Source organism: Homo sapiens, chromosome 14 (genome assembly GCF_000001405.40).
Source record: "Homo sapiens chromosome 14, GRCh38.p14 Primary Assembly".
NCBI classification, from domain to species: Eukaryota; Metazoa; Chordata; class Mammalia; order Primates; family Hominidae; genus Homo; species Homo sapiens.
Window position 1 is genome coordinate 58,290,522 of NC_000014.9, and position 20,639 is coordinate 58,311,160.

The 20,639-nt window shown below is 39.9% G+C and overlaps 1 protein-coding gene, 1 long non-coding RNA gene and 1 pseudogene across 10 annotated transcripts in view, besides 5 other annotated features; 1 reads left to right on the top strand and 2 right to left on the bottom strand.

Moving 5' to 3' along the window:
* Positions 1–7,616, bottom strand: part of PSMA3-AS1 (PSMA3 antisense RNA 1) — a 32,773-nt gene extending 25,157 nt beyond the window's left edge. For both annotated transcript variants that reach the window (NR_029435.1, NR_029434.1), the window contains exons 1-2: positions 7,434–7,616; positions 1,114–1,186 (exon numbers count right to left, since the gene is read on the bottom strand). This is a non-coding gene — a long non-coding RNA (PSMA3 antisense RNA 1). The remainder of the gene's footprint in view (positions 1–1,113; positions 1,187–7,433) is intronic.
* RNU6-341P (RNA, U6 small nuclear 341, pseudogene) lies at positions 1,772–1,867 on the bottom strand (annotated as a pseudogene).
* Positions 7,264–7,987: an enhancer, noted in NCBI's record as "NANOG-H3K27ac hESC enhancer chr14:58764503-58765226 (GRCh37/hg19 assembly coordinates)". NCBI's record gives its function as "activates a minimal SCP1, AML or CMV promoter by ChIP-STARR-seq in naive H9 embryonic stem cells {active_cell/tissue: H9 hESC(naive)}" and the evidence as "EXISTENCE:reporter gene assay evidence [ECO:0000049][PMID:30033119]".
* Positions 7,284–7,703: an enhancer, noted in NCBI's record as "active region_8449". NCBI's record gives its function as "activates an Ori minimal core promoter by ATAC-STARR-seq in GM12878 lymphoblastoid cells {active_cell/tissue: GM12878}" and the evidence as "EXISTENCE:reporter gene assay evidence [ECO:0000049][PMID:35858748]".
* Positions 7,724–7,773: an enhancer, noted in NCBI's record as "active region_8450". NCBI's record gives its function as "activates an Ori minimal core promoter by ATAC-STARR-seq in GM12878 lymphoblastoid cells {active_cell/tissue: GM12878}" and the evidence as "EXISTENCE:reporter gene assay evidence [ECO:0000049][PMID:35858748]".
* Positions 7,884–7,973: an enhancer, noted in NCBI's record as "active region_8451". NCBI's record gives its function as "activates an Ori minimal core promoter by ATAC-STARR-seq in GM12878 lymphoblastoid cells {active_cell/tissue: GM12878}" and the evidence as "EXISTENCE:reporter gene assay evidence [ECO:0000049][PMID:35858748]".
* The window catches only part of ARID4A (AT-rich interaction domain 4A), a 75,322-nt gene continuing 62,716 nt past the window's right edge, over positions 8,034–20,639 (top strand). For 7 of the 8 annotated variants that reach the window (XR_001750495.2, XM_005267964.3, XM_005267965.3 and 4 more), the window contains exons 1-5: positions 8,034–8,179; positions 9,277–9,339; positions 11,059–11,169; positions 14,423–14,488; positions 15,501–15,591. Coding sequence is in view for 7 of the 8 variants with exons in the window: in XM_005267964.3 (XP_005268021.1) it covers positions 9,334–9,339; positions 11,059–11,169; positions 14,423–14,488; positions 15,501–15,591 (274 nt within the window). In the remaining variant the exon portion in view is untranslated. Of the gene's footprint in view, positions 8,180–8,669; positions 9,171–9,276; positions 9,340–11,058; positions 11,170–14,422; positions 14,489–15,500; positions 15,592–20,639 lie in introns of those variants that run through there. The other variant, XM_047431652.1, reaches the window with a different exon arrangement.
* Positions 8,604–9,123: a silencer, noted in NCBI's record as "silent region_5798". NCBI's record gives its function as "represses an Ori minimal core promoter by ATAC-STARR-seq in GM12878 lymphoblastoid cells {active_cell/tissue: GM12878}" and the evidence as "EXISTENCE:reporter gene assay evidence [ECO:0000049][PMID:35858748]".

Sequence of the window (20,639 nt, forward strand, 5' to 3'; positions counted from 1 at the left end):
TTAAATATTTTGAAATAACTACTTAGATTAACTTTCCACATGTGTAATTACATTCTCCCTTTTATTGACCTTAAGCTTCTGGAGCACAGATCCTTGTAGGAAAGCCATTATGTAACTCATATTTGCTTGAATCTGAATCCTAAAATACGCTGTCATTCCAGTTTGAATTATACGAACCATTATCTATGACTCCATGTGGCCATAAAATCAGCAGATAAATCTGACACGGTGCCGGGCGCAGTGGCTCATCCCTGTAATCCCAGCACTTTGGGAGACGAGGCGGGTGAATCACGAGGTCAGGAGTTCGAGAGCAGCCGGGCCAATATGGTGAAACCCATCTCTACTAAAAGCACAAAAATTAGCCGGGCGTGGTGGCATGCACCTGTAGTCCCAAGCTACCCAGGAGGCTGAGGCAGGAGAATCGCTTGAACCTGGGAGGCAGAGGTTGCGGTGAGCCAAGATCATGCCACTGCACTCCTGCCTGGAGGACAGAGCGAGACTCCGTCTCAAAAAATAAATAAATAAATAAAAATTGAATAGGGCAAAAGACAACATAGAAATTTCAAAGTCTGCTTTGGTTACAAATAAGTAAATTATGTAACTTTCCATAAAATAACTAAATCTTTAGGAAAGCTGCTACATTCAACACAGCAATCATTTCCACTTCTCAATATATACTCGTGTACAGAAACAACTGCACAGTTGAACAAATTCTATGTTTTTTTTTTTTTTGAGACGAGTCTCACTCTTGCTGCCCAGGCTAGAGTGCAGTGGCACGATCTAAGCTCACTGTAACCTCCGCCTCCCGGGTTCAAGTGATTCTCCTGCCTCAGCCTCCCAGGTAGCTGGGGTTACAGGTATGTGTTACCACGCCCGGCTAATTTTGTATTTTTAGTACAGACAGGGTTTCACCTTGTTGGTCAGGCTGGTCTCGAACTCCTGACATTAGGTGATCCACCCACCTCTGCCTCCCAAAATGCTGGGATTTCAGGCGTTTTAGCCACCATGCCCGGTTATCATTTTTCAAAAGATACACAGATACACACACACACACACACACGAGCAACATGACCAGTCTTGATTACCTAAGAGTAACTAAGTAAAATTACTTACCACAAACAGATCGCAGATCCAGGTTTCTCAAACTGGAGCATCTGCTTAATTTTCCCATAAAATCAGTCTTATTCTAAAAGACAAAAGACTTGTTAAAAATTTTGAGTATGTGATAGCTCAGACGTTCAGAATACAGACTGTTGATGAAAAAAAAAACCACACACACAAATTTGCTTCCTTCCTAAACACTCTCATTGATAAGACTGGTAAAAAAAAAAATCACACACATGTTCATGGTGTTCTGTGATAAAAATATCAAGTCCTTAAAACTGGAAACCACACGAATGGGCACACAAATCCGTAAGAATGTGCTAACTTTGAGATTTCCAACTAAAATACCACATTGGGAAGATAATTATGTATTATCGTTCAAACTCTTATCAAAGAAATAAAACATTCTTCAATATAGCCTTATGTCACAGAAACATTAAAAAGTTGGTAATTATGATTCCTATTAGTTTGGGCTCATTTAACTAACAGGTTACAAAAATACAATTACCTCATAATTTCATTCATTTATACCCAAAACATTGCCTGGTAATTACTAATATTCATCTATAGTTACCATTAAGATATTATAAAATACTTAAAAAGGGATTGGAGAATAAAAAGAGGTCTGAAGAAACTAACACTCCGATACATTCTTTACTTTTTTAATTTTTAAATGGAATGCTTCTTATGTCATCCTTGCACAGGGGCCATGCTAATCTCCGTATGGTTCCAATTTTAGTAGGTGAGCTGCCAAAGCGAGCATGACACATTCTTAATGGTCCTCTAAATCTACATTTTATTAGCAATTACAAATCAATTTGGTATTAAGCTAAGTATCTGGAATATTTTAAAATTTTAAGGTTAAGACAGCATCTGTGAAACATTAATTTTCAAGAAAGAATTATTGTTATGTTGAAAAAACAAGCCTGAGCAACTAACAAAACCCCATCTCTACCAAAAAAAAAAAAAAGTTTTAGCGGGGCCTGATGGCACACACCTGTAGTCCCAACTGTTCAGGAGGCATGAGTTTGAGGCTGCAATGAGCTATGATCATGCCATTGCATTCCAGCCTGGGTGACAGAGTAAGATCCTGTCTCAAAAACAAAACAAACCCGAACAACAACAACAAAAAACCTAAGAAAACGAAAGATGTTAAGTTGGCTTATTTCACATTTTGTATACAAACGTGCATACAGATTTAGAAGAAGTATCTGCAACAGAGCACCTATCAGGTGGGGGAACCTAACAGTGATTAAATAAAACAGTTGCTGCTTTCTGGGAACAGAGTTTCAAATTTGGGAAGAGTCAAACAAATGCAAAGAGGCACACGTACAGGGGGTCTTATCAGGCTACAAAAGCACTGAGAGAATGAATACACACAAGAAGGGGAAACTTTAGAGAAGACTACAGGGAAACACGAAGTAGTTAAACACAACTAACCTTGAAAATAATTTGTTAGTATTCCTAAACATCACTTTTGTGTAGCAAAATGTTTCACTGTACAAATGCTCACCTAAAGTGAAAAAAAAAAAAAAAGTGGAAAAAAAAAATCACTCCTAGGGTCCAAGAAAAATTCTCATATATTTTATGGTATGTGTAACTTAAAGACTGCGATTATTTTTTTTTTTTTTGAGACAGTTTTGCTCCTGTTGCCTAGGGTGAAGTGCAATTCCACGATCTCAGCTTACCGCAACCTCCATCTTCCAGGTTTAAGCGATTCTCCTGCCTCAGCCTCCCAATTAGCTGGAATTACAGGCATGCGCCACCACGCCCGGCTAATTCTGTATTTTTAGTAGAGACGGGGTTTCTCCATGTTGGTCAGGCTGGTCTTGAACTCTCGACCTCAGGTGATCCACCCGCCTCGGCCTCCCAAGGTGCTGAGATTACAGGCATGAGCCACCACGCCCAGCCGATTATTTCTACTTGAAGAAAGAGAGGTCCAGGATAAAATGTTCAGAAATGAAGCTAAAGACAGACCAGAAATTTTTTGGGGGGGGCGGGGCAGTAATAAAAAGGACAACAAATCTAAGTGCAGTTAAGAAAAAAAAGCTTTCTAATGGACTATACAAGCATCCCTAGCCTTAAATACATAATCTATTCATATATATATACATACACATATACACACACACACACACACCTATATATTTGAGATGAAGTCTGTCACCCAGGCTGGAGTTCAGTGGCACAATCATGGTTCACTGGAGCCTTGATCTCCTGGACTCAGGTGATCATCCCACCTCAGCCTCTTGATTAGCGGGGAACACAGGTGCACGCCACCACGCTGGCTGATTTCTTGCACTGTTTGTAGAGATGAGGTTTCACCATGTTGTCCCAAACTCCTGGGCTCAAGCCATCTGCTCACCTCGGTCTCCCAAAGTGCTGGGATTACAGGCTTCAGCCACCACACCAGGCCTTCAGCCTTATATTTCCACTTCTGGGAGTTTATTCCAAAAATAATCAGGGATGTGAAAGAAGATTTAGATGCCCAGAAATTTCAGCATCTAAAATTCATCATTTACGTTCATGCAAAAATAACTGCGGTTTCAGACCATGAATTTTATATCATTATAACTAGGCTCAAACACATCTTTATTAATCAAAATAGAAACCATTACAATCAACACATTTTTAAGTTGTTTATTCCTGTAGTGTAGAAATCCATGCTTTAGGATTCGACGAACTCTTGGAAAGCATTTTCTGCATCCTGCTAGTTGTGGAAGTGTTTTCCCTGCAAAAAGGTGTCGCAATGCTTGAAGAAGTCGTAGTCAATGGAGAGAGGTCAGGTGAATATGGCGGATGAGGCAAAATGTCACAGCCCAATTTGTTCAACTTTTGAAGCATTGGTTGTGCAACATGTGGAAGGGCATTGTGAAGAATTGGGCCTCTTTCTGTTGACCAATGCTGACTGCAAGCGTTGCAGTTTTTGGTGCATCTCATCGATTTGCTGACCATACTTCTCAGATGTAATGGTTTCGCCAGGATTCAGAATGCTATAGTGGATCAGACCAGCAGCAGACCACAAAACAGTGACCATGACCTTTTTTTGGTGCAAGTTTGGCTTTGGTAAGTGCTTTGGAGAATCTTCTCAGTCCATCTACTGAGCTGGCCATCACCAGTTGTTGTATAAAATCCACTTTTTCTCGCACATCACAATCTGACCAAGAAATGGTTTGTTGTTGCAAAAAATAAGGGATAAGGACACTTCAAAACAATGACTTTTTTTTTCGGTCAGTTCATGAGGCACCCACTTATCGAGCTTTTTCACTTTTTAATTTGCTTCAAATGCTGAAGGACTGTAGAATGGTCCACATTGAGTTCTTCGGCAACATCTCAAGTAGCCTTAAGAGGATCAGCTTTGCTGATTGCTCTTAACCGGTAGTTATCAACTTCTGGCGACCAGCCACTACGCTCCTGATTTTCAAGACTTTCCTTCCCTTTGCAAAATTTCTTGAAACTGCCAGGCACAGCGGCTCAAGCCTGTAATCCCAGCACTTTGGGAGGCCAAGGCGGGCGGATCACGAGGTCAGGAGTTCGAGACCAGCCTGGGCCAAGATGGTGAAACTCCATCTCTACTAAAAATACAAAAATTAGCTGAGCATGGTGGTGCGTGCCTGTAATCCCAGCTACTGGGGAGGCTGAGGCAGAATGGCTTGAACCCAGGAGGCAGAGGTTGCAGTGAGCCAAGATCATGCCACTGCACTCTAGCCTGAAAGAGCAAGATTCCATCTCAAACAACAACAACAAAAAAACTTCTTGAATCACCACTGCACTGTAAGTTAACAGTTCCTGAACCATATGCATTGCTGATATGGTGTCTCTGTTGTTTTACAACCCATTTTTAACTCAAAAACGAAAACTGCTCGAATTTGCTTTTTTGTCTAACATCATTTTCATTGTCTAAAATACACATGAAGGCTGGGCACGTGGCTCATGCCCGTAATCCCACCACTTTACGAGGCCGAGGCAGGCAGATCATGAGGTCAGGAGATCGAGACCACCATGGCTAACATGGTGAAGCCCCTTGGCTCTATTAAAAATACAAAAAATTAGCTGGTGTGGTGGCACGCGCCTGTAGTCCCAGCTACTCGGGAGGCTGAGGCAGAAGAATTGCTTGAACCTGGGAGGCAGAGGTTGTAGTGAGCCGAGATGGTGCCACTGACTTCAGCCTGGCGACAGAGCGTGACTCTGTCTCAAAAATAAAATAAAATAAACATGAAATAAACAGAGAGTAATAAGTCATTACCAAAAGAACAAAGCGAGAAATGCCCATTAAAATGATGTATAACATAACCACATTTATTTAACAACGTAGTCCAACATCAAATGGCAAATTCCAATAATGCAAAAACCACGATTACTTTTGCAACGACCTTCTTAGACACAATATTTTGCAAAACATGTACAAGGATATTCACTGACATATTACTGCCATTATAGAAAAATAAACACGTTACATAAATTATGATATATTTATCCCACAAAACACTATGAAGACATAAAAGATGCTTTACGATAAGATATTTCCAATATTCCCAATGTTTTCTATAAAGAATAGACGGTAATGAACAACACTAGAATATTTGGTAAAACAAAACCAACAAAAAAGACAAAGCCTTTTGTATAATATATAACTATAGTGTAAACCGTAACTACCTTTTGGAGGAGGGAAGACATTTTTGTATTCTTCTTTGGGCTTTTTAATAATTTCCAAATGTCCATGCATTATTTGGATTCAATAATAACAGTTTAAACTTTGATCGTAGAATTATGGATGCTTACCCCCTAGAAAATTCAGTAATATATTGTTTTATAAGGTCTTTTAAAAAACTGCTTCACTCCTACGAGATTGCGCCACTGCACTCCAGCCTCGATGACAGAGAGAGACTCTGTCTCCAAAAAAAAAAAAAAAAAAAAAAAAAAAGCCTCACTCCTAAACACTCCCATTTACAAGATCTTTTCTATATAAGAACTTTTTAAATAGGCGGGTGGGGGGGAGGAAATCACAAAAATACGCATAATGTTTTATAACAAAAACATGAGGTATATCAAAGTCCAGAAATGAGAACCACGTAAATGGGTAAACAAGTCCATAAGGATGTCCTAATTTTGGGATTTCATTCTAAAATATTACACTAGAAAGCTAATTATACAGACTCATTTGAATCTGACCAAACAAAACATCTTTTAACTACCCTTCCTCCCATTCTGGTATTTCTTTACTAATCCATAGAAAGTTTTTCCAGGTAGTCCCCCGCAATTCTAAGGATTTTTAGACTTTATGACTCACCTCAGTAATCACTGAGATGTTCTGTTTTCTTCAGCACAACTGCCAAAAAACCCAGTAATTGTTAAGTCACACAATCATTTTCTAGTTATGGGCGCCACCAATATAGCAGTAGGGTTTAAAACAGAGGTATTGAGGGTAACTATTAGGATCTATCCAGTGTGACTAGGTCACTCACTAGAAATGCCAACATGCATTTCACGTTTTTATGAATACTTTTGAGCAAAATTACTGTTACGAATAAAAAACTGATTCTGCTCGGCTGTTTTCTTACTGAGAAAATTTAGTCCACGTGGATTACTGACGATATGTCACATTTTAAAAATTACTCCATTCTATAAAACTAGTCAATTTTATACTCCAATTCCGCTATTTAAAAATGTGTGTTTCGTTTAACAGAATATAAGATGTTAACAGAAAAAGATCAACGTCTATCTTATCGGGGACGTCCTTTTGTCTAAGATGTTTTCAGTCCCTGCAAAACCACTGTTTGCTTTCAAAAAGTAGCATAAGCCTCGTGCAGAGTGACAGACCCTTGTCTAAGGTCACAGAAGAAGCGTCTGCGCTGGCAAGTAAATTCCTCAGCATCCAGAAAGCCAGCGCTTTCTCCAGTTTCCTCATAGCTTTATCCCGTGAGGAGCACGCGGAAACCTCTACCCATGCAGGATGTTTCTAAGAACCACTTCTTCCCTGTCTTAACTAAGAAGGCTCCCACAGCTGGTGCCAATCAGGTGGAGAACATGGCAAGTCCCCGAAATGCACTTCCAAAGACAGGAAAGATTGCAGTGGGACAGAACCCAGAAAATCTCTCACATTCTCGAAAACCCGAAAGAGAACCTCCAAGAAAGACGTTTGCCTCTCCTCCACCTCTTTATCTCGGCGGGAGAGGAAGCCTCGCCCCCATTCATCCCGCCCCTTCTCCCCACCCCGCCGCAGGGAGAAGTTTACCATGGCTGCCTGCGGCCCCTTCACTTCCGGTGCCGGTGCCGCTAGGGCTGCGCCATCCCCCCAGTCAATCGGACAACCATAGCCTCCAACTGACCTTTCTGACAGCTCTGAGACTCCTCCGGCCACGACTAGGTGCTGTCCTGGAGGAAACGGTGGAGGACGGCCGCACAAAAACCAATCTACCTGATGAAAACTCCGTTCCCTTCTCGCCAGAAACATAAAATGCGATGGAGCTACGGCCACCGCTGCCGAGACAAAATGGCGCCGACAAGCTGGTTTAGCGCAAGCGCCTTGGACAGACCCTGCCCCGCCCCCGTGCAAGCCCCTGGCTGCAATTCTGGGTTCCGTTTCCATGGGACACTCCGCCGCCAATCCTCGTGTCGAACTGCTCTTCCTGACCCCTCAATTCACCAATCAGTGCCCAGTCAAGCACATCCGGAGTCGTCTCTACCAATCATTTCTCAGGACTTGCTTACTCAATAACCAACTCTCCAATAAAGTTGGTTTTCGGAAAAAGCCAATCATAAGTGGAAGATGTCCTACCTGCTGTTTTTCTCACCAATCCATGAAGTTTCACAGCTACATCCAATGAGGACGGCAGGTAGCGAGGTCCTATCCGAAGCTCTTCGGCGTCATGAGCAGCCAATAGGAGTTCGTGTAGAAGCGAGTCTGCTCAACAGCTTGTTATTTGGTGGATTGTGGCAGTAAATCGGGGCGAGTGGGGAACCCGGCGCAGGAACTGCAGCCGCGGCTGGGAGTGGTGCTGCCCGGACGGGGGCCCACGGAGGTCAGAGGGGAGGAGGACTCTGGAGCTGACAGCGCGCACTTCACCCGCAGTTGGTAGGTGGGGAGAGGGGAATCCGGGGATACTGAATGGACGAAGTGGCAGTAGCAGCAGCTGCTGCTGCCCGAGGTCCCGGTGCAGTTGGAAGCTTTGGAGGTGGGGAGAGGGATGCTAGGCAAGTGGCACGGCGAGCGCAAGGGAAGGGGCCAGCCATTGACCAGCGGCAGCAACTGCAGGAACCGCCGCCGCAGTTGCAGCCGCCTCCTCGTCCGCTTCCTCGGGTTCCCGGGAAAATGGCTGTGGGGCTGGCCGCGCCGCTAAGTTTGCTTCCGCGCGGTGAAGAGCGGGCTGCTTGGGGGAGCCGTCCCCCAACTCCGCGGCGCGTCCACCTCTGCGGAGTCCGTGGCAGGACTCGAGGGGCTACGAGCTGATACCTCTCTGGGCTGTACAAAAAGTTGAGGCGGGCGCTGGGAGGAGGCAGCGGCTGCTGCGGTGCGGCTCCCCTCCCCTCCCACACCCTGTCCGGGCCACCTCCCCTCCTCCTCCCCTCCGCCCCCCGCCCCCTCCCCCACGCGGGTCCCCCGGGGCTCTGGCGGCTCCCGGCTGAAGGCCGCGGCCCCTGCCCCTTTGGGTGAAGGAGCGCTTCTCCTTTCTGACATGGTGCAGAGCGAAGGAAGGAGAGCAATGGCGCCGTGACACTCCGCTGCCGCCACCGCGGGCCCGGGGCGGGCCGAGGGGGCCGAGCGGCGGAGGCGGGGCGCGGGCCGAAGTCGGGGTATCCGGGGGACCGCGGAGCGGAGGCTCGGCGGTCGTCTCCGCGGGGGACCTGGGGAAGCCCGAAGGGAGCTCTGGCCTTTTCCGGAGCTATCTGTCCTGGAGCTCCGAGTTGAGCATTCCGGGTCAAAGTGGCCAGCGAGGCGGGGGCGCGGTGGGCCGCTGGCGAGCTCCGGGGCGGAACGGGCTGCCCTTTGGCGCTCGTGGGGTTCTCGCTGCCCCCTCAGCTCCTGCGTCCTGGCTGCCCTCGTAAGGGGTCTTGTCCCTTGGCTGGTGAGGATTCTGCCCCTCCCCGCTGGCGTTTGTTTACTTTCTTTCCCTTGGTCGCTCCCCGCAGTTGACTGATTATGTCTGTGCCTGTCTTTCCCCCTCCCCATAGTTCTAGCGACTGCGAAGATAGCTCGCTGAGCTGGAACCCCACAGATCACCAACAAAAATGAAGGTAAGTGGAGTCAACTCTGCCCCGATCCTCGCGCCCTGAACACTGCCAATCCTAAGGCTAGTGCCGTGGAATGTCATTTGTTTTGCTACTCAAAATTGATGTTCCTACTGATCAGCAGTTTCGGCATAGGAGGATGTGTTGAATGGGTGAAAAATGATCTGTGTGTCTAAATGCGGAGTTTAGGCCCTCTCTGTAGCAGTACTTTGGAAAGGCTGGTGCAGCCTTTCAATTGTTGTCCATTCGGATAGTATTTTTAAACACTTCCTGTGTTGGCAGCAACCTTTGCAGAAGTAAAGCTTTTGTCCTGCTTTGGTTCTTTGGGGGATTTTTTGTAAATTTTTTTTCTTCCCGTGTGCCAATGCGATTTTCTAAAAGAAAGAATACGTGGATTAAGTAATGAAGGTATCATTTCTTCTGTGTGTAAAATGAACTTATGTGGCTAAAATATTTGAAGTTGAAGTATAATAATAGTTTTAGTTAAATCTTTCCAATAAGTATTTTAAAACATATACTAAAAAGATACATATTCTACTGAGGATGACTGCAAATATCAGTATGTGGATGGTTAAAGGGAAAGGATCTCATATAGCGTTCTTGAATGCTGTGGCCATTGAATGTTTCAGGTCAGATTTTTGTTTGCCAAAAGCATTCCTATTCAATTTGTATTTTTTGTAAATGCACTTACTTTAAAAGGTACCCAATTCCTGTCTTATTTACTGTTTCAGCATATTAAGCTCTGAAATATAGCATTTTCCCAAACTTTCTCGTGGTTTTCTATTTTCTCGAAGTAAATGACATATTTAACCTTCTTTAATATTACTTGGGAAAACTTATTAGAAAACAAAAAATCATTTTCTACTTCAAAACGTATCTCCAAAGTGTACACTGTTAACTTTGCACTTAACAATGTTAAGTTGAACTTGTATGGATACACTTTAACTTCCGGAAAAAAAAAAAAAAGGTAAAATGACAGATTGAGATAGCAATCATCCTGTTACTGTAAAAATTAAAATGAGTGGTAGAGTGACATTTCTTACATCTTTCTATGTATCATTCTGGTCGTGTCCATTTGCTGAAAGTAGATGTTTCTTAGTAACGCTTATTTTTTTATACTAAGAAGATTAGTGTGGTAAACTAGGTATACCTACAAGTCTGGAGCCATCAGTTCATATCTGCATTCATCGGCTGAATTCAGACTTAAAACCTTTCAAGTGCAGCTTTTAGCAAATGAATTTTCCAAATGATACTTTCCTTATGAAAAGATGTTACCTTTATGTGGCTATGTCAATAAACAATTATGTATTGTTAGTGTTAATATTAGTAGCAATATTTCTTTTAATTTGAAAAATTTCAGGAAGCTATAAATGAATAACTTAGTTTTATGATATGTGTAATATGAAATATTTTTTCTGTTTTTTTCTTATCTTTCTGCTTATATAATAGTAGAATTTTTGAAAAATTTTGTATCGAGACAAAACATTATTAATCACTGATAATTTTGAATTACAACTTTAAAACATTTTATCATATCAGGACATCAGTCTATAAAATGAAAGGTTGCTAATCAAGTATTTAGGGTATTTTTCAAATTTTCAATGATATTAATAAGCAAGTCATTTTAATATTCTTAATGCTTCAAACACAACCTTTTAATGAGACTTGAGGTTGGAGTAGGGAGGCATAGTAATGACATTCACAGTTTTATGTTCCTTTCACCAGGCGGCAGATGAGCCTGCCTACCTGACAGTGGGAACCGATGTCAGTGCCAAGTACCGAGGTGCCTTCTGTGAGGCAAAGATTAAGACTGTGAAAAGGCTGGTGAAAGTTAAGGTAATATTTGTTTTTATGCAATAGTTTTATTAACTCTAGATTGAAGAAATTTGGGGAGAGAGAGACTGCAAATCAGCATTTTATTGAGTCATTATATGAAAACCCTTTATATACCAAACTTAAAGGAAAAGCACATCAAAAATAAAGAAATAAAAAACTCAAAAGGAGAAATTATTCCAAAATGCTACCATCAAAATACCATGCTCATGATATTTCCTGTCATTTGGCTCTTAACTATTTGTGGTAGCATACTTGGACTGTAATCTATTTTCTCCCCTCATTTAATGTTCAGGTAGAGACAATTTTAGTGTTTAGGACAATACAAATACAACAGGAATTATGTTTTCAAGACAGTGTAAAAAAGCATTTAAAAAGTTTATTTTGTGACTGGGCGTAGTGTCTCATGCCTGTAATCCAAGCACTTTGGGAGGCCGAAGTGGGCAGATCACTTGAGGCCAGGAGTTCAAGAGCAGCCTGGCCAACGTGGCGAAACCCTGTCTCTACTAAAATTGCAAAAATTAGACCCGGCGCGGTGACTCACGCCTGTAATCCCAGCACTTTGGGAGGCTGAGGTGGGTGGATCACCTGAGGTCAGGAGTTCGAGACCAGCCTGACCAACATGGTGAAATCCTGTCTCTACTAAAAATACAAAAATTAGCTGGGTGTGGTGGCAGGCACCTGTAATCCCAGCTGCTCAGGAGGCTGAGGCAGGAGAATTGCTTGAACCCGGGAGGCGGAGGTTGCAGTGAGCCAAGATCATGCCGTTGCACTCCAGCCTGGGTAACAGAGCTAGACTCCATCTCCAAAAAATAAAAAAATTAACCTGGCATGGTGGTGCACACCTGTAGTCCCAGCTACTCGGGAGGCTGAGGCAGGAGAATCGCTTGAACCCAGGAGGTGGAGATTGCAGTGAGCCGAAATCACACCACTGCACTCCAGCCTGGGTGACAGAGGGAGACTAAAAATATATATGTATATTTTTGGCTGTGTGAAGTGGCTCACACCTGCAGTCCCAGCACTTGGGAAGCCTGAATGGGGGGATTGCTTGAGCCAAGGAATTCAAGACCAGCCTGGGCAACATAGTGAGATCTTGTCTGTCCAGAAAAAAAGATAAAAAGTATTAGCCAGGTGTGGTGGCAGGCACCTGTGGTCCCAGCTACTCTGGAGGCAGAGGTGGGAGAATTGCTTGAGCCTGGGAGGTCAAGGCTGCAGTGAGCTGTGATTGTGCCACTGCACTCCAGGCCGGATGACAGGGCAAGACCCTGTCTCAAAAAAAAAATTTTTTTTTAAGATGCTTTTACTCTGAAATAACTTTTTTTTTTGGTGGTTCCTGCCAGTAATTTTCTTATATGAATATATTTTTAATAGTCTTCGTTACTTTATACTTAGATACCTCCTATGCTTATTATAAACATTTTTAACATTATAGAGGTATATCATATAGTTAATGAAGTCCTCCTTAAAAAATTTTATTTAAGTTGATGAATAATAATTTTACATATTCATGGGCTACATAGTCATGTTTTGATACATATAATGTATGGTGATTAAATCAAGATAATTTGCATATCTATCATCTCAAACATTTTTCATTTCTTTGTGTTGGGAATATTCAGTATCCTCCTCTTAGCCATTTGAAACAATGTGATATAGCATTGTTAACTACAGTCATCCTGCTGCGGTATAGAACACTGTGAAAGTCCTCCTTGATACGACTCCAAAGAGATTTGATGTGGTCTTCCAGATTTTTTTTACTGTGCCAGTCATAAAATTATTGTCATTGGTATTGGATCATGCTGTATTGCAGTTTGCTTTATTCACTTATATATCTGATGTTTTCCTACCAGAATTAAGCACCATAAAAGGAGGAAACGTCTGACTTGTTCTATGCCCAACACATAGAGTAGTGCCTGATACATAGTGGACCCTCAAAATTTGTTGAATGAATCAGTGAACTAGAGCAGTGATTCCTAAAGGGTCCCTCCAGACCAGCAGCATCAGCCTTACTTGGGAACTTGTTCCAAATGCAAATTTTCCCCACCCCAGATCTACTTCATCAGAAACTCTGGGGGTAAGATCCAGTAATTGTGTTTTAATAAGCCCTTTAAATATTTCTGATGCATGTTAAAAGTTTAAGAATCAGGTTGGGCACGGTGGGTCATTAATCCCAGCACTTTGGGAAGCCAGAGTGGGCAGATAACTTGAGGCTAGAAGTTTGAGACCCACCTGGCCAAAATGTTGAAACCCTGTCTCTAGTAAAAATACAAAAAATTAGCCAGACATGGTGGTGCAAACCTGTAATCCCAGCTACTTGGGAGGCTGAGGCACGAGAATTGCTTGAGCTGGGGAAGCGAAGGTTGAGACCCTGCCTAAAAAAAAAAAAAAGTTTGAGAAACATTGACTAGAGGAGTGTGATTTGTAGGTTAAATAGATGTATCTATGATTATTATAAAATTTATGTTTCAGTTTTCTTGATGAACCTTCAAGTATTAGGATAGGATGTCAATTGACATTCATTTCTTTTTGTTTCATACAGTGTTTTTATCATGTCAGCTATATAGGATTTGATTACTCTATATTTATTTGGGATTCTTTAACAATTCAAATTTGGTATTGTGGCTCTTATTTACTTAAAATTAATACAATGATTGTTTTAGGAGGTCTTACCATACATTACCTAGATTTTGAATTTATTTGGACCATCTATTATTTGGACCATAGTAACCAGCCATCTGTTACGGATGGTTACTTTATGTCTTTAGATGTGTAGTAGAAGGGAGCACTTGTTTGTATCAGTGCATATTACGATTATTGCTTAGCTTCACTTTATAAAGGATCAGAGTTCTGGTTTTAATTTGTTTACCTTTCATATAGGCAATACAGTTTGATACTGTTGTTTTTCTTTGTGTACTTGGTGGCAATCAGAACCTTTTGTGACTTGATAAAAAGCAATAAAGGCAGTTTTTTTTTACAGTAATCATTAAAGATTATTATATAGTTCATTTAGTAAACAGTTATTAAGTGCTGATAATATGCATTGACACTTGCTAACTGTTGGGGATATAGCAATGAAGGGAAGACTCAGCCCTCAAGGAGCTCACAGTTAATAAGAGAATGTAATAAGTATTACATTAGCAGGGGTCACCACATGGTGCTAAGAAAGCATAAATTAAAGACATTATTGTTATAGTGTTACTATAAATGTATTTGTTTTAAAAGTAATATGCAAATTATTGTGCAAAATGTTTTTCAGGTACTCCTGAAACAGGATAATACCACACAATTGGTACAAGATGACCAAGTAAAGGGTCCTTTAAGAGTATGTATGTTGTACGGTTTAAAATCTGAAATAATCATAGATTTATACCATATTTACTGAATTTACATTTCTACATAGACTTAACATTTTATGAGAACGTTAATCAGAAAACAATACATATGAAGGGTTTAAATATAATTAGTATAAATTGTGATATTGCAATGGCTGTATTCTGTTTTAGATACTAAACATCTTCTAGAAGGGTAATTTAATATATATAAACATGTTAAGTTTTTCACCTACCTTTCTGTTTTGAATTCTTGAACTGGATACCTGGCTTTGTTTTTCACATTGTTGCTGTATCTGAGGTGATGTTTAGCCTTCTAAGTTGAGTATCATAACCATCAATCTTTGGTTGTTCTAATTTACCAAGTAAACTATGTTCACTTCCTAATTCAATTTAATGAATACCTAGATTATGTTTTCCATGCATTTCTGGCCATTTGTTTATGTAATAAATCTGTTATATCAGAGTACCACTTTGGTTAATATCTGATATACAAAGGTCTGGAAACTGAAAGAAGGTCAACTGGTCCATCCCTATCTCTCCAGGTGAACCTTTATCTAAAAGGTACCTTAAATACAAATGCTGAATCCAATATTCACTATTTCTGTGAAAGAAAATGGATGCTATTTTGGTTGTCTTATAATTTTACAGTTCTTCGATTTAATTTTCTTGAAGGCAATGTGATATAGTGGAAAAGCTCTAAAGTAAGATTTAAGAGACTGGGCTGTCATGCTGGACTCTGCATATTATTTTCTCTTTCTGAACGGCAATTTTCAGTGTGTAAAGTAGGGGTAATAATAGCTACCTAACTTTTGTCAAAGTGTTTTGGAGCTCAAATTGCATAATAAATAGATAAGTACTATGAATGATAAAGATCTCAGACAGTGTAAGATAGAATTATCATAAGTATGGTGTTTATTTTTCTTAGCTAGATTATATAGTTGGTGGGAGTGATTTGGTTTATTTGTTTAAATTTGGTAAGGAAATTGGGATTTCACATTTTAGGTTGGAGCTATTGTTGAAACAAGGACATCTGATGGATCTTTTCAGGAAGCTATTATCAGCAAGTTGACAGATGCTAGTTGGTATACCGTGGGTAAGTAATTAAGTAATTTAACACAGATTTGATTTGGAGGTTGCATGTATCTGTGTTTTGTGGATACACTGAATCATTGTGTTGGTGGAGAAATATATATTATTTCCTGTCAGTTTACTGGATATAGCTGACTAAAATTCTAAGAATGCCCTGTAGGTAACAAAAATAATTATCTCTTACAGTAAGTTGGCCACTTTTGTCTATTTCATCCAAAAATGTACTTCTATTTTAGGTTACTTTGATGTTTCTTTTCAAGAAAGTTAGATCACATGATTGTGATCACTTTTTCTATAATTACAATTAAAATTGCATAGTTGCGATCGTTACTGTATTGCTACATATTTTATACAAGGGTAATGTAGATGTTGCCAGACAATTTACAGATTTAAAAAATCCTGACCATGGTAGATTCAAGAATAGGTGATTGTTAACTTAGTTTTTGATTTTTGATACAGTGTGGGTGCTCATATTAACAGCTTTCAAGGTCGGGCATGTTGGCTCATGCCTGTAATCCTAGCATTTTGGAAAGCTGAGGCGGGTGGATCACTTGAGGTCAGAAGTTCGAGACCAGCCTGGCCAACATGGTGAAACCCCGTCTCTACTGAAAATACACAAATTAGCCTGGTATTAGTGGTGCATGCCTGTAATCCCAGCTACTCTGGAGGCTGAGGCAGGAGAATCGCTTGAACCTGGGAGGCGGAGGTTGCAATGAGCCCAGATCATGCCACTGCACTCCAGCCTGGGCGACAGAGTGAGATTTGGTCTCAAAAAGAAAACAGCTTTTAAGAAAAATATAGATGCTCCTAATATGAATGCATGAATGCATTCTTAACATTCCATGCATAAGCTTATACTGGCTTTAGATAACTTTATTGTATTAATAGTGAGAAGCAACAAGTGTCATAATACTTGTAAGTTAAAACCTTAAAGTAGTACTTAAATAGTTGCTGTCATTATGTTGATGAGAATAGCATTAAGTAACATTTCCAAATCTCCTCTCAGTACTTTCAAACTGCACAATCCTGTGGATAACATCCAATCTATAGCATTGTTGGTTTTTATACTTATTTCTTGGTTTAAGTGGTATAATTATTTTGTGGTTTTCTTGTAGAAATAAAAGAATGACCATTTAGGTTTACTTTTAGTTTACTTGATTTGTTGCTTTGGGTAAAAATCATTCACATCCAGTTGATGCTCAGTGTTGTGAAGAACTATGCTTTGGTTAAAAATTTCTCTGTCTTACCCTGTACCTTCTATTAGTAGTACCAATTTGCTGTGTGTAAGTACTTTTTTCAAACCTCTTTGATGCTTCTTGGACTTACTAGAATTTAGTGTTGGTTCACAGTGGTGCTATTATTCTGAACTACATATTTTTAGGAAGCTTAGTTGTGGCTACTGATAGTTGTTAAATTTTAAAAACTAAGTGGCCAGATGCAGTGGCTCTAACCTGTAATCCCAGCACTTTAGGGGGGCGAGGTGGGCGGATCACCTGAGGTCAAGAGTTCAAGACCAGCCTGGCCAACATGGCGAAACCTTGTCTCTACTAAAAATACAAAAATTAGCTGGGTGTGGTGGTGGGCGTCTGTAATCCCAGCTACTCAGTAGGCTGAGGCAGGAGAATCGCTTGAATCTGGGAGGCGGAGGTTGCAGTAAGCCTAGATTGTGCCATTGCACTCCAGCCTGGGCAACAAGAGCAAAACTGCGTCTCAAAACAAATAAAAACTAAGCTTAATGTTAACTCTTAGAGATTAAGTAAATACATCTTTGCTTTATCAAACTAAGACCTGATAAAAATTACAGGTGTGTGTAGAATCACCGGAAAATATATGATGCATATTCAGATATTTATATTGCACCTTATATTTTAACTCACTATAAAGGTTGTACTCACTTTGAAGCTTTACTGATAAAATGCGCATGCTCTATAGAAGGATTACTTTTCAGGTTTTCTCATTTTGGGTTTCTTTATCCCAGAGTAGTTATTCAATTATGAATAGCAACCTTTGTCCTCTACATGAGTAGCGTTTTAGTGTTTCTAAAAACTAGTCACTGCTAAGCATTCTCTATGGTGATTTTCTGTGTTGGATAATTACAGAAGAAATTGTATAATTCTTGTTCTCAAAGAGCTTTAGAATCTTAATTGCATATAATTGAGGTATCAAGCATTAGTGGACATAAGAATCACTTGGTGCTTGCTTAGAAAAATGAGGATTTGAGGACCCCAAGCCTCTCCAATTAGTAGGCCTGGGGATGGCAGTACAAGAATGTTTTAATAAGCATGTCAGTGATTCTGATGCAGGTAGTTCACACTTATAAAAACAGGGAAAAACAGATTTATTTGGGAGAAAAATTCAAAATATTAAAGATTTTTGCACTTACGTGCATGAAGGAAATTCATAAAAAGATTTTGAAAGGCACTGTTCCATTCAGAAAACTCAAGATAGCACTGCTCTAAAGAACGTTTAGATATTGAAGGAAGTGGATCACATAAAGAATGATCAGAGTATAATGACCTGAGTTACCAGTTGGTTTAAAAAAAACAGTACAATGAAATGTAAAACCTCTTGGGTCATGAACATCCTGTATTTTTCTTTCAGTGAGTACCTACTACCTACCTATTAGGTGTAATTGCTCTTTTCTGGAATTTTTTTTGATTTCTAGTTCCTAGCAAAGTATTACATGGGTATAGTCAGAAAATTATTCAGAGTGTTTATGACGTGTGTTACCTTTTTTGGTTTCATGAGATACCAGAAATTATGTCAGATTATTAAAAATAAAACAAGAGGATACCACATTGCTGGTTTGGATCAAATAGGAGTTATGATCATTAGTGATCTAAAGTTATCATTAGAGTCAGTGATATTAACTTCTTCTTGCATAATACAGGTATCAATTTCCCTTCTGTTAAACATGATTAACCAATTTTGAAAGAGATTATGGATATAGTATGACTCAGTTTTTAAAAAATCTGGTAATATCTTACCCTCTAATGGTTTATTTCTTGTTTGTTTGTTCGTTTTAGAGACAGGATCTTGCTCTGTTGCCCAGGCTTTTGTTCAGTAGCACTATTGTAGCTTCCTGCAGCCCTGAATTCCTGGGCTCAAGCAGTCTTACCGCCTTAGCCTCCCAAAGTGTTGGGATTACAGGCATGAGCCACTGCTCTCAGCTTCCCCTTTAATGTTGAATAGTAAACAGCACCAACTCAAGGGGATTTTTTTGTTTCTGTTTTTTGAGCAATAGAAATATTTCCTCTTCCTACCATTCCTACCATAGTTTACTCATTGATAGTTGTTATCCTTGCCATTAAAGATAAGGAATCTGTAATATGTGGAAGTGTGTTATCTGTTCAGTCATTCAAAAGGTGTTAAAATTGGGATTAGAATTCATACCTCTATCCAGCCCAAATCTCTAGTTATGTTTTTTAAAAAAGGAATTAATATGTCCAGTTAAATGTTACCACTAACTCCTGGTAAATACAACTGTCAGTAAGACATTTTGAAGGTACTCTCTGTTTTGCCTTTTTGTAATATAAAAACATATACTTGAAAAGTAAGGAAAAGTTAAAGGATAGAAATTTCAGTAATTCTAGTAATTAACTTTGAAAATGTACACACACAGATCATTTATCAAGTTTAGCACTAAAATCTATCATCTGTATTAATGTTTTTGTAACAAGAAGTGCTTAAGATTCAGATTATTTTGTACCTTGTAGTTACTGTTTTGAACATCGGTTATATCAGATTTTGTGTAAGTTCTAGTTAATATTGAGTAGAGGAGGTTTAGATTCAACTGGTGAATTAATTAAATTTTGTAGAATGTCCTGCAGGTTTATAAGGTTTTTAATGTAGTCAGACTCGCTTATGACAAATGTTATAATCAAAATCAACCACAAAATGTTTTCAAACCCAGGTGGCTCTTCTACTGACTAGAAGATAATTCATTAAGAAATAAAGTAGTAAACAAAAAAAAGTGTTTAATCCTATCATAGGCTTTAACTCATTTTTTAAATGGCCTTCCCTAAGACTTAGTATTCCCATGATATTTTCTTAATGTAATTATGTATTTGAGTGTTAATTTCTTAAATTTTCAGATTCCTGGAGTTTTTTTTTGTTTTTTTTTGTTTTTTTGTTTTTACCTTAGCTGCTGAGGGACTTCTATAGTTATCACAGTTGATTCTATGAATAACAGAACTATTGAAGCTAAAGCAATCTTGATCAAGAAGAACAAAACTGGAGACATACCACCTGATTTCAAAATATACTACAAAGCTATAGTAATCAAAATATCATGATACTGGCACAAAAATAGACACATAGATCAGTGGAACAGAATAGATACCCCAGAAATAAATCCACCTATTTATGGTCATTTGATCTTTGACTAGGGTGCCAGGAGCACATACTGGGGAAAGGACAGTCTCTTCGTAAATGGTGTTGGGAAAACTGGATATCTACATGCAGAAGAATGGAAGTAGACCCTCATCTCACTCGATATACAAAAACTAACTGGATCAAAGTGGATCAAAGACTTAAGACTTGAAATTGTCAAACCACTAGAAGAAAACATAGGGGAAGAGGCTTTATGACACTGGCCCGGGCATTGATTTTTTTTTTTTTTTTTAATGACCCCAGAAGCACAGGCAGAAAAGCAAAACTAGACACCTGGGATTACATCAAACTAAATAGCTTCCACACAGCAAAAGAAACAATCCAGAGAGTGAAAAGACAACCTTCATAATTGGAAAAAATATTTGCAAACTCTGTATTTAATACGGGGTTCATATCCAGAATTTATAAGGAACTTAAACAACTCGATAGCAAGAAAACAACCCAATTTTTAAAATGGGCAAAAGGCTGGGCACGGTGGCTCACGCCTGTAATCCCAGCACTTTGGGAGGCCGAGACAGGTGGTTCACTTGAGGTCAGAAGTTCGAGACCAGCCTGGCCAACATGGTGAAACCCCATCTCTACTAAAAATACAAAAATTAGCTGGGTGTGGTGGTACATGCCTGTAATCCCAGCTACTTGGGAGGCTGAGGCAGGAGAAAT